General features: G+C 42.1%; 1 protein-coding gene across 7 annotated transcripts in view, besides 1 other annotated feature; it reads left to right on the top strand.

Annotated features, from left to right (window-relative positions):
* The window catches only part of FRMD4B (FERM domain containing 4B), a 373,805-nt gene that overhangs the window by 153,281 nt on the left and 205,876 nt on the right, over nucleotides 1-14,648 (top strand). For 2 of the 7 annotated variants that reach the window (NM_015123.3, XM_017005989.2), the window contains exon 1: nucleotides 3,218-3,478. The exons of the other annotated variants lie outside the window; for them this stretch is intronic. In NM_015123.3, the coding sequence (NP_055938.2) occupies nucleotides 3,317-3,478 (162 nt within the window). In that variant the 5' untranslated portion in view covers nucleotides 3,218-3,316. Of the gene's footprint in view, nucleotides 1-3,217; nucleotides 3,479-14,648 lie in introns of those variants that run through there. 7 annotated transcript variants of the gene reach the window in all.
* Nucleotides 3,141-3,751: an enhancer, noted in NCBI's record as "H3K27ac-H3K4me1 hESC enhancer chr3:69434706-69435316 (GRCh37/hg19 assembly coordinates)". NCBI's record gives its function as "activates a minimal SCP1, AML or CMV promoter by ChIP-STARR-seq in naive H9 embryonic stem cells {active_cell/tissue: H9 hESC(naive)}" and the evidence as "EXISTENCE:reporter gene assay evidence [ECO:0000049][PMID:30033119]".

Raw genomic sequence — 14,648 nt, 5'->3', positions numbered from 1 at the left:
TAATCCCAGCACCTTGGGAGGCCGAGGGGGGAGGATCACGAGTTCAGGAGTTCGAGACCAGCTGGCCAACATGCTGAAACCCCATCTCTAGTAAAAATACAAAAATTAGCCTGGCGTGGTGTTGTGCACTTGTAATTCCAGCTACTCGGGAGGCTGAAGCAGGAGAATCACTTGAACCCGGGAGGCGGAGGTTGCAGTGAACTGAGATGGTGCCACTGCACTCCAGCCTGGGCGACAGAGGGAGACTACGTTTCAAAAAAAAAAAAAAAAAAAGTAGACTAAGAGACAATGGAGACTGGGGAGGGTCAGAGGGTGGGAGGGGATGAAGGATGAGAAATAACTTAATAGGTACAATGTACACTATTCTTGTGATGGCTACACTCAAAGCCCAGACTTCGCCACAATGCAATATATCCATATAACAACACTGCACTTATACTCACTAAATCTATCATTTTAAAAACCCACATTTTACTTATACTGTTTTATCTGACTACAAAAAACTGAAGCAATTCTTGATTCGGGGGGTTATGGTGATTAGTTTTCTTTGGATGCTTACCCTTCACCAGACACCGTGCTAAAGACCTTATACAGAATATTTTACTTAATTTTCCCCAAACTTTTTGTAGTGAATACTGATAATACATTGTACACATGAGGACATTGAGACTTTGTTGACTTAAGGAGCTTATATGGGGTCTCACGGGTCCTGAGGAGAGGAGATCTGAAGTTGGGTGGGTCTCTTTTAGAAGATTTAGCTCCTAATCACCATACTATCACTATTGTAGTTCTCTAATTTTAGCATGAGTCGGAATCCTCCAGAGGCCAACTGAAAGCTCTGATCGCTGATCTCACCCCCCAACAATTTCTGATTCCAGGGCTGCCTGAGAGCTTGCATCTCTAGCAAATTCCCAGGTGATGCTAAAGCTGCTGGCCCAGTGACCACACTTTGAGAGCCCCTATTATACTACATCCTATCTTCTAAAAAATTGCCCTGACTTTGGAAACCTTGAATGAAAATGATGGAATTTGAAAGTGACTGCTGACATTAGACCTACGCACAGATAGCTAACAGCCAGAGTGTTTCTAGAGCCTCTCTTCTGAGAGGATGGTGTCATGAGACAGAGGTAATTGACCTGTTGTAGGTTTTATTCTGGTATTCCCTTGGCTGCCTGACATTTCCGAGAACACAGTCGAACTGCATCGTTTAAAAAAAAAAAGTACCACCACCATTTGCTCGTACTAATAGGGCATTTTTGAAGTTCAGTAGTTTTCCATTCAGCATGATGACAGTTCTTTTTCAAGCTAAGTTCATTTTCTTTTGATTCAGTAAAATCTATTATATTCAGATTCATCGTTACCATCATCTTGAAAAAAAAACCATCAATACTAATACTGATGGCACATAGAGAAGACTTATTGTGAAGAAAGGTTTGCAAATCTTGGACCAAGTCTTGTGTCCTATTAACTAATTCAACAAAAACTCTTGGGCAATTTTATTAACGAAAGAAATCTCATTTAAAAGTTTTCTGATTACAGTCACTGAAAACAACAGGCACTTTGAGGACAGATTTTGTGTTCTTCGTCTTTTGACTGATTGAGTTTCACCTGAATTAAGATTATAAAAGCACATTTGATACCTGAAATCAAGCTGATTTACTTGTCGATAATCTGTTCTGGAGTCTTCTGGGCTAGTTCAGGAGAAAAGCTTTGGTGCCTTACCTTTCCTTTTGGTGCCACTTAATAGCATAGATAACAACCCAGATGTGAAACAGCCAAGAAAATACAGACAATTGACTTACAGATGGATTCAGGAAAAAACTCCATCCTGAAATTTGCTACAGCACTTTTGCTATGAGAAATCTTCATACATTCTAAGGGAAAATGGAGGCTGGGCACAATGGGTCATGTCTGTAACGCTAGCACTTTGGGAGGCTGAGGCTGGAAGATTGCTTGAGCCCAGGCATTTGAAACCAGCCTGGGCGACATAGTGAGACCCCATCTCTACAAAAAAAATAATGATAATAAACTTAGCACCTGTAGTCCCCGTGGCTGAGGTGGGAAGATGGATCACTTCATCCCAGGAGTTCAAGGCAGCTGTGAGCTATGATTGAGTCACTGCTCTCCAGCCTGGGCAACAGACCTTGTCTCAAAAATAAATAAAGGAAGACAGAGACTGGTGGTAGGCGAGACTCCTTGAGCTCCCTTTTCCAAATGTTTCCAACAATCAGCATCAATTCCCGAGGGAAAACTTTAATAAATAAATAAATAAGATTAATTATCTAGTGACTTCATGAGTGGTGGAACAGTTTCCTTTGGTTTTGAGGGGAGAATAAACTACCCATGCAGGTTGGTGCTTGCAGGTGAGGTTAGACATGTCCAGAGGCTGAATTTTCCAGAACTAAACCACCGATTCTCTTATGGGCTTCTGTTTCCCAGCACTAGTAACGGCAAGCTATTTACAAGGGACCAAGAACTCTGTTTTTCTCCCTGACTGCTGCATTGGTATTAGCAGCATCTTGGTGTGAGGAAACCTGCCTTCCTGCTGGCAACCACAGGAGGCTGTCATTTTCTCTGAGACCCTCAAGTTAGGAGCAAAGGCAGGTTCTAGGGCCGCCTGTTGCTTTGAGACTGTTGCCTTCATCTCCTGCTTCCAGCAGAACCAAGGAAACATTCGTGGCTATTCCCCCAGGAGTAGGGTCCAAAGGGATGCCTTGGAGATTTTTTTTTTTCTCTCTCTCTCTTCTGCATCTGTGGCTGCCCAGAGGTGTTTTATCAGTGTGAACAGAGCAAGATGAGTAAGGTGTTCCCCGAGGCAGATTAGGAGACCACTCGTCCGGTGTGGGGGGTGTGTGTCTGTGTGTGTGTGTGTTCGCGCGCGCGCAAGACGTGGAAGCCAAGTGTGCTGAAATGCAGCTCCCCTCTCTGCCTGCAAAGAGTTGCTCCGCTTCCGTCCCTGCCCCGCGCCCTGGGGAAGCGCCAGGGGGAGTCCTCGCCGGCCAGGGCTTCCCGTGCCCCGGGAGCATCGAGGGCCAGCTTGGTGGAGCTTAGCACAGCTTGCTCGGCGCTGCGAGCGGGCGGGGGTGGACACTGGGCTTCTGTGTGCCAGTCGCAGCCGTTGGCTGGCGGGCACCCAATCCCAGGGCATGCCGCCGGAGCCTGGCCAGGACGCACGGTGAAAGACGAGTTTGGTGGCAGGCTTGACCCCCCGGCTGCCAGCAGAAGCCGGCGTCGGGAGCCCAGGCGGGCAGGCCGCTGGGGTCGGGGCTGCACGTACGAGAGCCGGGACGCCCGGGTTCAGAGCGAAGGAGGAGGCATGGCTTCGGTGTTCATGTGTGGCGTGGAGGACCTGCTGTTCAGCGGCAGCCGCTTCGTATGGAACTTGACCGTGTCCACGCTGCGGAGATGGTACACGGAGAGGCTGCGGGCTTGCCACCAGGTGCTGCGGACGTGGTGCGGGCTGCAGGACGTGTACCAGGTGAGCTGGAGCGCGCGGCACCCGAGGGCCCCAGCAGGATGCCGGGCACTCGTGGGAAGCAGGCTCCACCTGTATGATTTTATTCCCCCCAGCTCTTCTTAAACTCCTAGCAGACTGCTTGGCCCTTGGGTCAAACGCTCAGCAGCTCTAGGTAATTATTGCTTGACAGAGCTTGTGAATTTTTCAAATCGGGCATGGGGGGCACTTGCGAGATAGTCCCAGCGTTTGCAGACATCTGTTACAGAGCAATGGTGTACTGGCGGGCGCTTGACTAGGGAGGCTGTTGCTTTGCAACAGAGGGTCTTCAGAAAGCCACTTAGACATTCAAATGAGTCCTTCTTTTTAATTTCATTGGGGGTGGGAGTGGCTGCTTCTGAAGCAACGGTTTCACACCAATTTGCTGGCAGAGGGGGCCTTGGTGGATTTTTATCCTTCCGTTGGATTTTCAGTTTTCCATCAGGCAGCCCCAACTTGTAAGGCAGAGCCAGGAAAAGCTGATTCTGTGTCTACTGGCTTTTGGAAGGAAGGACAGCAAATTGTGAACACTTTGCAGGAGGATGACAGGCTGGGGAAGGGAGGGGTGGCCCGGCTACACGTTGGAATGCTCATGTTAGGATTTACTCCCTGTCACACAACACAGCCCCTTTATTTCTCTGCTCGGTCCCATCCTGCAGGCAAAAAATGCAGCAACTTTGCTCAACTAGGAGACCATTCATCCTCTCTGGTACTGCAGTTTGCCTGGATTTCTTTTTTTTTTTTTAGACAGTAATTTATGAATTTAAAAGTTCTGTGCTTTGGTTGTTAATATATTTGAGATTTTTAAAAATCTGCATTGTTTAGAAATATACTTGGTGTCTACTGTGGAAAGATAATATCATATTTTCTTTCCTGTGATGTGGAATAGCTTTGTTGCAGTTCCTGGATTTCCCCCCATTTGACCCTGTTCCTAATATGTCTAGAATTTATGTCTTATTATATTGTGTCTCATACATGATCAAGCACTTGATTTTGACAAACCATAATCTTCCATCAATCAGGCAAAATGAAAAGGCCAGCACCTAAGGTTAGCCTGTGGAAGTCTAAAGAGTCAGCGTCCCCTTGTCACCCTTGTTAAAATATGAGGAACATTTGAACTTGTGCTTTCACTGCTTCTGCTTTGTATAACATATCTGTGATATCTTGCATTTTGAAATGGAATCTGAAAGGCAGGTTGGGAACCAGGGCAGCATGTGGGAGTTTGAGAGTATTAGGGAATTGTGGATATATCCCATCTGGCCACATTACATAGCTCTCTGGCTTTTTGGAGCCAGAAGTGTGTCTGTCTTTCAAGCCTTTTTTTTCCTCTCTTGGGAAATCCCTGTTCAGTTTGGTCTGTAGAATAAGTGCCCCTTATGTAATTTTGTTTTTCCTTTTTAGTGTTTGAGAAACTTTCAAAAAGGGAACGCAAATATTGTAGCCAACCAGAGTGACTCTGTGCCTCACTCCCCAAGGATTCAGAGGATTTATGGCTTATCTGTAATACTGTTACTGACCAATTCAAAAATAAAGATTCCAGAAACCTGAGACCTTATGGATTCTTTATAAGGTTGACTGATAATTTTTATGCAGAATAGCAATTTGAGACACTGAGCTACTAAAATATATGTATTTTTTTCTTTTCTCTAAAATGGATGGTGACTGAGCCAATACCATATCATAATTGATAAGAACATCTAAAATAATGGTGGTAGTCAGGCAGTGTGCTGTGTGTCTATAATCCCAGCTACTCAGAAGGCTGAGGCAGGAAGATCCCTTGAGCCCAGGAGTTTGAGGCCAGCCCGGGCAACATAGTGAGACCCATCTCTTAAAAAAATAAAAAATAAAAAAAAAATAAGTCCCCACTCCTTATTTTTAACTTTAATCAATTGTACATTTCAAAATAACTAGAAGAGAATAATTTGAATGTTTCTAGCACGAAGAAAAGATAACGGTTGGGCACCATGGCTCATGCCTGTAATCCCAACATTTTGGGAGGCTGAAGTGAGAGGATCACTTGAGCCCAGGAGTTCAAGACCAGTCTGAGCAACATAGTGAGACCCCATCTCTACAAAAAATTTAAAAATCAGCCAGGTATAGCGTCATGAACCTGTGGTTCTCTCTGCTCAAGACGTTGAGGCAGGAGGATCACTTGAGCCCAGGAGTTCAATGCTGCAGTGAGCCATAATTGTCCCACTGCACTTCAGCCTAAGTGACAGAGGGAGACCTCCTCTAAAAAATTAATTAATTAAAATATTTAAAGCATTGGCTATCCCAATAACCCTGCTTTGATTATATGAATGTGTCACATTATCACATGTACCCCCGAACTATGTACATCTAATATGTATCAATGAAAATAAATAACAAAGGCTTTTATGAATACAGAATCAGAAGAAAATGATCTCTAAGTTTAATATTTCCTGTGCTTTTGCAAAAATAAGATTTTCAAAAATATTTTCAGCCTTTGAATATTCTTAATTGTGCAACATAATCCTTTGCAAAGGAAGATCATTTTTTAATGCTTTTCAAATATTAAGTGAAAAAGTAGTGACTTAATTGTGTAGAACTAAAAGACAGTAACTGCAAGTTAAATAGACAAGGGAGTTAATCCAGTCTTTGCCTATGTATGACCGTGGGTAAGTTAATCTTACTATACTTCAGCTTCATCATTTATAAAATGAGAAATTAATAGTACTAATCACAGAGATTGATAAAAGAATTAATTGACGTGAGATATTTAGCACGCTGCCTGGAGTTTAGAAAGCATCCAATAAATGTTATCTTTTCCATGAGTTAGGATTTTTTTTATTATAATAGAAAACCCAATTCAAACTTGCCTACAGAGTAAAAAGAAATGACTTTTGTCACAGCTGAAAAGTCTAGCAGTAGAATGAACTTTAGGTATTGTTTGATCAGGGTACCATGCTTTCAGACCTGGTCTTGCTGATGTGTTGGCTTTATCTTCAGCTGGTTTCTTCCCTCACAATAGCAGATAATCACAGCAGTTTCAGGCCTTATATCCACACATCCAGAAAGAAAGAATTTCTCATATCCTCCAACTATCAAAAAAAAAAAAAAAAAAGTCCCAGTTTACATGCTGGAACTCCAATTTAGGGTCTGTACCCACTCCTGATGCCATGCACTGATTGGCACAGAGTATGGGATGACAATTTATGCATTCTCAATGAGAGTGAAATGGCCCAAAGGAGGCAAAAATTGTTTTGGAGGAGGGGGGTGGGAAAAAAATTCACTACTTTTATTTATAAAGCACGAATATACATGCAATATATAAACAGAAATACAGCATATCTGTGACATTAAAATGGGAGGGATTGGGCTGGGTGCAGTGGCTCACACCTCTAATCCCAGCACTTTGGGAGGCCAAGGTGAGCAGATCACTTGAGGTCAGGAGTTCAAGACCAGCGTGGCCAACATGGCAAGACCCCGTCTCTACTAAAAATACAAAAAGTAGCTGAGTGTGGTGATTCATGCCTGTAATCCCAGCACTTTGGGAGGCTGAGGCGAGTGGATCACTTGAGCTTACGAGTTCGAGACCAGCCTGGCCAACATGGCAAAACGCCATCTCTACTAAAAATACAAAAATTAGCCAGGCATGGTGGCACATGCCTGTAATCCTAGCTACTCGGGAGGCTGAGGCATGAGAATCACTTAAACCTGGGAGATGGAGTTTGCAGTAAGCCATGATCACACCACTGCACTCCAACCTGGGCAACAGAGTGAGACTCTGTCTCAAAATAAATAAATAAAATGAAATAAAATAGGAGGGGTGACAAACAAACAAAAATCTAAAAAGGCTCCTTAAGCAGATAACAATGAATTAAAAGGTTAAGAAACACTGGATTGCATTGATTTGCTGAGGCTAGAGGGGAAGGGACCCATTTCTGAACCTAGGATTGAGGTTGGCCCTACTCAGACCACAGAGCTGCCAGGGAGGAAAGGCAAAATGTTTGGCTGAAATGCAACCAACAATGTTCACTGCATCATTAGAATATCAAATCTAGTGCTCTTTACATAAAAATATTAGCTATTTTTCAAGATAAGTACAAAGATTAATGCTCAAATACCTTTGTATGTATTTTGCCACAGGAATTTGAGTTAAGGGGCTTATCATAAGATTACCCCTTTGCTATCCCATAATTGTGAATTCTAAATCAGAGAGGGGATTGTTCCACTGCACTGCTCAGCTTTCAGGCATATGGACTAGAAACACACACACCAGGGAGTTACATATTTTACTGAACCAAATTTTAGATGATCTTGTTGATAAAAAGGTGTCATTTTTCTTGCTTCTAGTCTGAATAGTCTTGTTTGTAAGGAAAGCCAAAGCTTCATCACTCTAGAGAGAAATAGGGTGGGAAGGGAGGTATCCATTACATGAAATACCTGTCAGTCTCCTGGGGGTGTTCTTTTTATTCATATACTATAAGTGAAACAAGATCTCCCACCTATTCATAAGGTATTTGCCAACAACATTATTGTCAGGCTAGCAAAGCTAGGAAGGCATAATTTCTTTGGAATTGAACACTTCTTCCATTTCTAGATATTGGAGAAGCAAGTGACTTAATTTGCCAACAAACCATGAATAATTAAGATACTAGCTATAAGGTATTTCTGTAGTAATGAGACTAAATAAAAAGCAGGCTCAGGCTGCATTGAGGCTGCCTTGAACAAAGACTTACTTTATGAGTGAAGCCTTGAATTTGGCTAAAGTAGCAGACATGAGCATTCACCTTCACTTTAAGCTAAATGCTAAAAGCTGATTCATCAGCCATATCCCTGTCCTCCTTATATCTTGCCTGGATGGGTTTTGTTATAGCAATTAATTAGGTTTCACAAACAACTTAGGTGGAAAATGATGACAGAATATTACAGAAAAAAATAATCAACACCCTTTGCTTTTTATTAAGTGTGACATGTTCTAACAAAACCCTCAGTTTATTCCTTGGGATTAGGTTTTCCCTTCCTCTCCAGTGTCCCAAAGATAGAATTTCTTGCAAACCCTGAAGGGAGTCATTGCCTCCAACAGGAGGCAACTTGCACAGACTCCGGGATATTTAAGTGACCAATAAGAGGCTGGGTCAGCTCCCCTGAGGCAGGTAGCTGTCCCTGAGGGGGTAGCATAGAGCACAGAACACGGCAGAGTCTGTAGGCTCAACTTGAGCAAATTTGACCTCGGACAAATTGCTTTCCCTCTCTGAACTTCATTTCCTCCTGGGTAAGAGTGGGGGAACAGAAGCAGCCGCATTATGAAATAGGGTGAGAAATTCATGACGGAACATATATATCACTTAGCACTGTTCCTGGCACAAGCAAATGCTCAATAAATGTTAGCTCTGGTTTATGTAAAGGATTTAATACTGAACTCAGAGAAGGTACTTGATAGAGGGTAGCTAGGGGCATTACTATTGCTTTTATAGGTGAGACTAGTTCCTCTAGTCTCACCTGGACTTGGTGAGACTACATTCCCATTTTTACATGTTTCCTGAGGATGCTCAGTAAGAGAGACTGTGAAATTTCCCACAGCAGCGTGTGTGGGGTGGACCTTGGGTATTTGGACTGTGTTCCACACGGTAGAGCACATGCTCTTTTAGCTAAGCCCACAGTTAAAATCTAGAAGGTCACAGCCATCTCCCACTAGGGTCTCTGAAGAGACAATCTTGCTATATCCAAGACTCCAATGATCCACAAACTGGTAATGCCTGAACTCTGGATCTCACCACATTGGTGGGCAAAGGCCAAGTCCTCCAAAGGACAATTCCCTATTGAGCCCTTGTACATTTCATACTGTATACAGTTTGCTTGCTCTCACCCTTCGCTCTCCACAGTCTTCTAAATTAGTTGGACTAGAAAGGGAGTCAGCAAACTATGGCTTGCGGGCAAAGTCGGGCTTGCCTCTTGTTTTTGTAAATAAAGTTTTGTTGGCTCACAGCCAGGCTCATCCATTACATGTTGTCTACAGCTGCTTTCACACTGTAATGGCAAGATTGAGCAGTTGTGTCTGAACTACTTAAAGTTCAGTAGCTGATGCAAGAACTATTGCCCACAAAGCTGAAAATATTTACTATCCAGCCCTTTACAGAAAAAGTTTGCCAATCCCCAGACAAGAAAAAAAAGGTGGAGAATACTAGAGGAAGAAAAGTCCATAATTCTATCACAGAAAAACAGAACTTAAAGGAATATGGAAAAATTTTCTCATCAAAAACCTAGGCGTGGCTGGGTGTGGCACCTCGTGCCTATAATCCCAGCATTTGGGAGGCCAAGGCGGGCAGGTCACTTGAGCCCAGGAGTTTGAGACCAGCCTGGGCAACATGGCGAAACCCCACCTGTACAAAAAATACAAAAGTTAGCTGGGTGTGGTGGTGTGTGCCTGTAGCCCCAGCTACTTAGGTGGTTGAGGCAGGAGGAACGCTTGAACCTGGGAGGCTAAAGCTGCAGTGAGCTGAGATTGTGCCACCGCATTTCAGCCTGGGCAATAGAGTGAGACCCTGTCTCAAAAAATATATATATATAATTACTTAGAAATTAAAAAACAAATGTTCAAGATGAGTGCTCAATTTACCTTTACTAGGTCCTTCTCTGTAAAATATAATGATTGGAGTCATAGATTGATTTATTCATTTGTTCATTCATACCTGAAATAATTGTCAATGGCTCACCAAGTCTCAGTTCTGATGCCAAGGTGTTAGAAACACAAAATCAAAATAGACTTTTGTCTTGCCTTCAGAAAATGTATTTTCATGTAAGGGAGACAGTTAAGGAAACCAAGGTCTATGAAAGGGCTTTGCCTTTTTAGATGATCAGTGGAGGGAGTCTAAACCAGACAGGAATAATGCAAAAGGGAAGGACCAAGGAAGCTTCCTGGAGGGAGTGACTCTTATGCCTTTCTTTGAAGGACAAGTAGGAGGAAGGTAGAAGGGTATTTCAGGCATGGAACATGACTTTTGTTGGGGATTATAAGAGGGTTTTTTGGTTTTTTTTTTTTAACCTTGATGAGTAGAGAGACAAAGACAGAGAGATTTTGATTGAGAATAATGCCTGAACTTGAATGACCCTGTACTTTAGAATTTTGATGTTTATGGGGAGATCTTTGTGGGGAAGGAAGGAGTTGATTTAGAAATACCACTGGCAGCCGTGAGGCGGATAGACTTGGGAAGTATTGCATAGGGAAGCAGTAAGGCAAGGGAAGCTCAGAGGCTGTTGTAGTGATGTCAGTGTATCAGTCAGCATAAATGGGGTTAGCCATGGCAACAAACAGCCCCAGGATCCTGGTGGCTTAAAGCAATAATTTTCTCTACTTTTGCTCATACTATCTATTCAATCACTGGTTGGCTGGAAGCTTGGTTGATTACTGTCATTCAGGCCCACAGAATGTTCCTAAACATTGCCAGGTGCCCTGATAGAAGGTGAAGAGCTCTTCAGAGTCTGGTCCTAGCAGTTAAATGCTTGGCCTCTAAGTGGCTCATGTCACTTCTCAGTCATTGGCAGAACTGGTCACATACCCACCCAACCAAAGGGGCCAGGCAAACCAATTCTGCCTTGCCACAGAACAGCGTGAATGCTGACACAGATTTGGTTCCTTAGGTAGCAGACTCTGAAATGGAGATTAACAAGCAGGAAGTTTATTAGAGAGCCCTCTGAGGACCTACACCTGGAGAAGGGAATAAAAAAGAAGTAGGATTGGTGACTGAAGCCTGTAATCCCAGCTCTTTGGGAGGCCAAGGTGGGCAGATCACTTGAGGCCAGGAGTTCGAGACCAGCTGGCCAATATGGCAAAACCCCATCTCTACTAAAAATACAAAAAAAAAAAAAAATTAGCCAAGTGTGGTGGCACACACCTGTAGTCCCAGCTACTCGGGAGGCTGAGGCAGGAGAATGGCTTAAACCCGGGAGGCAGAGGTTGCGGTGAGCAGAGATCACGTCATTGCACTCCAGCCTGGGCAACAGAGTGAGACTCTGTTTCAAAAAAAAAAAAGAAGAAGAAGAAGTAGGATTAAGCAGAGGGAAAAGTTGAACTAGAATTCAGGCTCAACAAAAACTGCAGCTGACCTCCCAGGTAGCTCTGAAGCTGAGAGTTGTCCCAGGTTGTTACGAGAGGGGTAGGTCTTCTCCCCACCTTCATTAACCCATTATTGGAGATGGGCTACCCTTGAAAAGGGGGATGGGATGACCTTGGAGGAGGCAGCTCTCTTTAAGGGACTGCGATTTCCAGACGGGTTTGAGATCTGTCTGCTCACAACACTCCCAACAGCTGGGGAAATAAGTTTGGGCAACACATCAAGCACCTTCTACGGGTGCCTCCCCAACAGGTGCTAGGACCAAAGCCTGCACTGAAGCAAGGGCAGCAGGAAGAAAGTGAAGAGTGAGATTGCCTTGATGTGAGGATGTAGAATCTAGCTTTAAAACACAGCCAGCCTTCAGAGAGGTCTCCTGACTGCTTGCTACACTTTTTTCAAGGGATTGGACCACAACAGACTCAGCTACTTACCATTATAGTAGTGATTAACACATACAGAAAGGAGAGAAAATTTGGGTGATAAATGAAATGAGTCCATTTATCACTGAGAAAATTAATCTTCTACTTTTTCTGGTAACCAAAGATTTTATGGCAGGGAACTAAGATGCTAAGGTACCCAAAAACTAATTTTTAATTTTTTATCTTAATTTTTTAGCTCATCACCTGACAGAAATTTCTAAAAGAAACATGTCACCTAAACTCAACAAAATTAGTCCCAGGTTCTTTGAAAAGCATTTTTGAACCTTTGTTGCACAGCTTGAAAAGCATCAAGAACGGACTCTCCGGACTCTTCAAATGAGTGTTTGTTTTTCACATTCCATCTTTTCTTGGTGGAGCTTGTAGCATAAAATAACTTTCTCATTCATCCCCTACTTATGTTTATTCTGAACATTATATTTTTGTTGTCCCAGTTGGTTGTTGTGGAAAAGTCTGAATGACTCAAATGAGGAATCAGATCTGCAGTTCTAAATTTTATAAACAAGACCATATGACTTACAACATGGAAAGCAGACAGAAATTAAGCTCTCATGAAAAAAATTAAAATTAACACCCATATGTAATAGATATATTGTGTATATATGTACATACATAACAGATATACATCCTGGCATCCTTGAAATAAACTTTTGCTATAAAAAATGCTAGCAAATATGGTAAATTAAATAGTCCCATTTTCCCCTAATGTCCTTTTTAGTCATTTTTTTGTCTCTTAAATTTTGTGTGTGTGTTTAGGTAAAGCTTTTTGCTTAAATAGCTGTTTTTCCTTTAACTGGTACTTTTATGTAACCTTGCTGTCTTGACTTGAGTAACAGCTACTAGATATTAAGCAGCTGCTATATGCTAGGCCTTTCTATATGCTAGGCCTTATGCTTGGCACTTTGCATGTGCTACCTTTAAGAATAAAAAACTTTAGGACTTATTTCAATATACAGAAATATAAAAGGTAATATAGGGAAAAATCTATGCTCCCAGCACTGTTTAAGGCATCTTACAAATAATCTGCCATGTTTGTTTTGGTTACTTTTTTGTAATATAATAAAATTATATTGAATCAGTTGAAACCTCCTTTGTACCTCTTCCCACTCCCTAGAAAATCCTGCCCTGAAGTTTTTTATTCCCAGGCATGTTTTTATAATTATGTCACATCTGTTTGTATCTATAAACAATATATATAATTCTTTGTGTGTCTGTAAAATTTATATATGTATGCATCATTCTGCTGCTTTTATTTTTCTTTCAGTAAGTTTTTGGGATTTATCTCTAAATTCATTTTCAATCCCTATATCCCATTGCATGAATATATCAATCTCTTGTTGATAGACATAAGTTATTTCCAAATAACAGTACAGTGAAAATTTTTGTACTTGTCTCTTTGTGCATATGAGCAAGACTTTCTGTATGGTGTATACTGAAAAGGAGAGTTCCTAGATTTTACACACTTTATTAGATGTTGTGCCTTTATCCTCTTCAGTATGATATTATGAACCCCATTTTATTGATTTTATGTACTTATTATAATAGGTAATAAGTCACAGTGTTGGAATTTGAATAGCATGCTAGCTGACTCTAACACTCAGCCTCTGGCCACAAATTTGCTGCTTTATTTTAAGAGAAATGACACATAAAGATACAATTTTTTCATTTGTTCATTTGTTCATTCACTCAAAAAATATTGGATGGAAACATAGTCTACTGCTTAAAGATGAAGTCTATGAACTCAAACCGCCTGAATTCAAATCGTAACTCACCTTTTACTGGTTATGTGAGTTCTCTAAAGCTCTATTTTTTTCTGCTGTAAAATGTGGACAATTATAGTGCCTACATCAAAGAGTTATTTTCTTGGGATGGTTATAAAAGTTAAATGTATTAATATTTAAAAGCACTAAAAACACTGTTAGATGTTATATGGATGGACCAATAGATGGGTGCTTGGTTAAATAGATGATTGGATGGATGGAAGGAAGGATGGATGGATGGATGGATGGATGGATGGATGGATGGATGGATGGGATGGGGTGGATGGATGGATGGGATGGGGTGGATGGATGGATGGGATGGGGTGGATGGATGAATGGATGGATGGGTGGACAGGTAAGTGGGTGGGTGGGTGGATGAATGGATAGATGGGTGGATTGTTAGATGGATGGATGTTGGATGGATGAATGGTAGGTAGGATAGATAGGTAGGTGTTTGGTTGGATGGATGCTTGGATGGGTGGATGGGTAAGTGGGTGGGTGGGTGGATGGATGATTGGATGGGTGGGTGGGTTGGTGGGTAGGCAATTGGATGAATAGATGAATGGTTGGATGGATGTCTGGCAAATTATCTTCACGTATGCATTGTTCATAATTTCTTATGCACGTAATTTCTTAACCTTTGAAGCTTCTAAAGTTTGCAGAAGCCTTGACTCATTCCTCTCACCACCCAGATGAAGAATTGTAGACTGGATGGCCACCAGGAAAGGGGCCCACTGACCACTGTGTAGACACACTGTGGGCACATGGTTTTATGGCACAGGATTTTATGAGGCAGCACTAGCCTCTTAATGCTACTGTCTGGTTTATACTAGAAAAGCAAACATGCTTACAACTTTTAGTTGCTTTATTTCTGTCTCTC

Source organism: Homo sapiens, chromosome 3 (assembly GCF_000001405.40).
Source record: "Homo sapiens chromosome 3, GRCh38.p14 Primary Assembly".
NCBI classification, from domain to species: Eukaryota; Metazoa; Chordata; class Mammalia; order Primates; family Hominidae; genus Homo; species Homo sapiens.
Note: the sequence above shows the minus strand (reverse complement) of the source record. Positions and strands in the feature narration are given on the sequence as shown.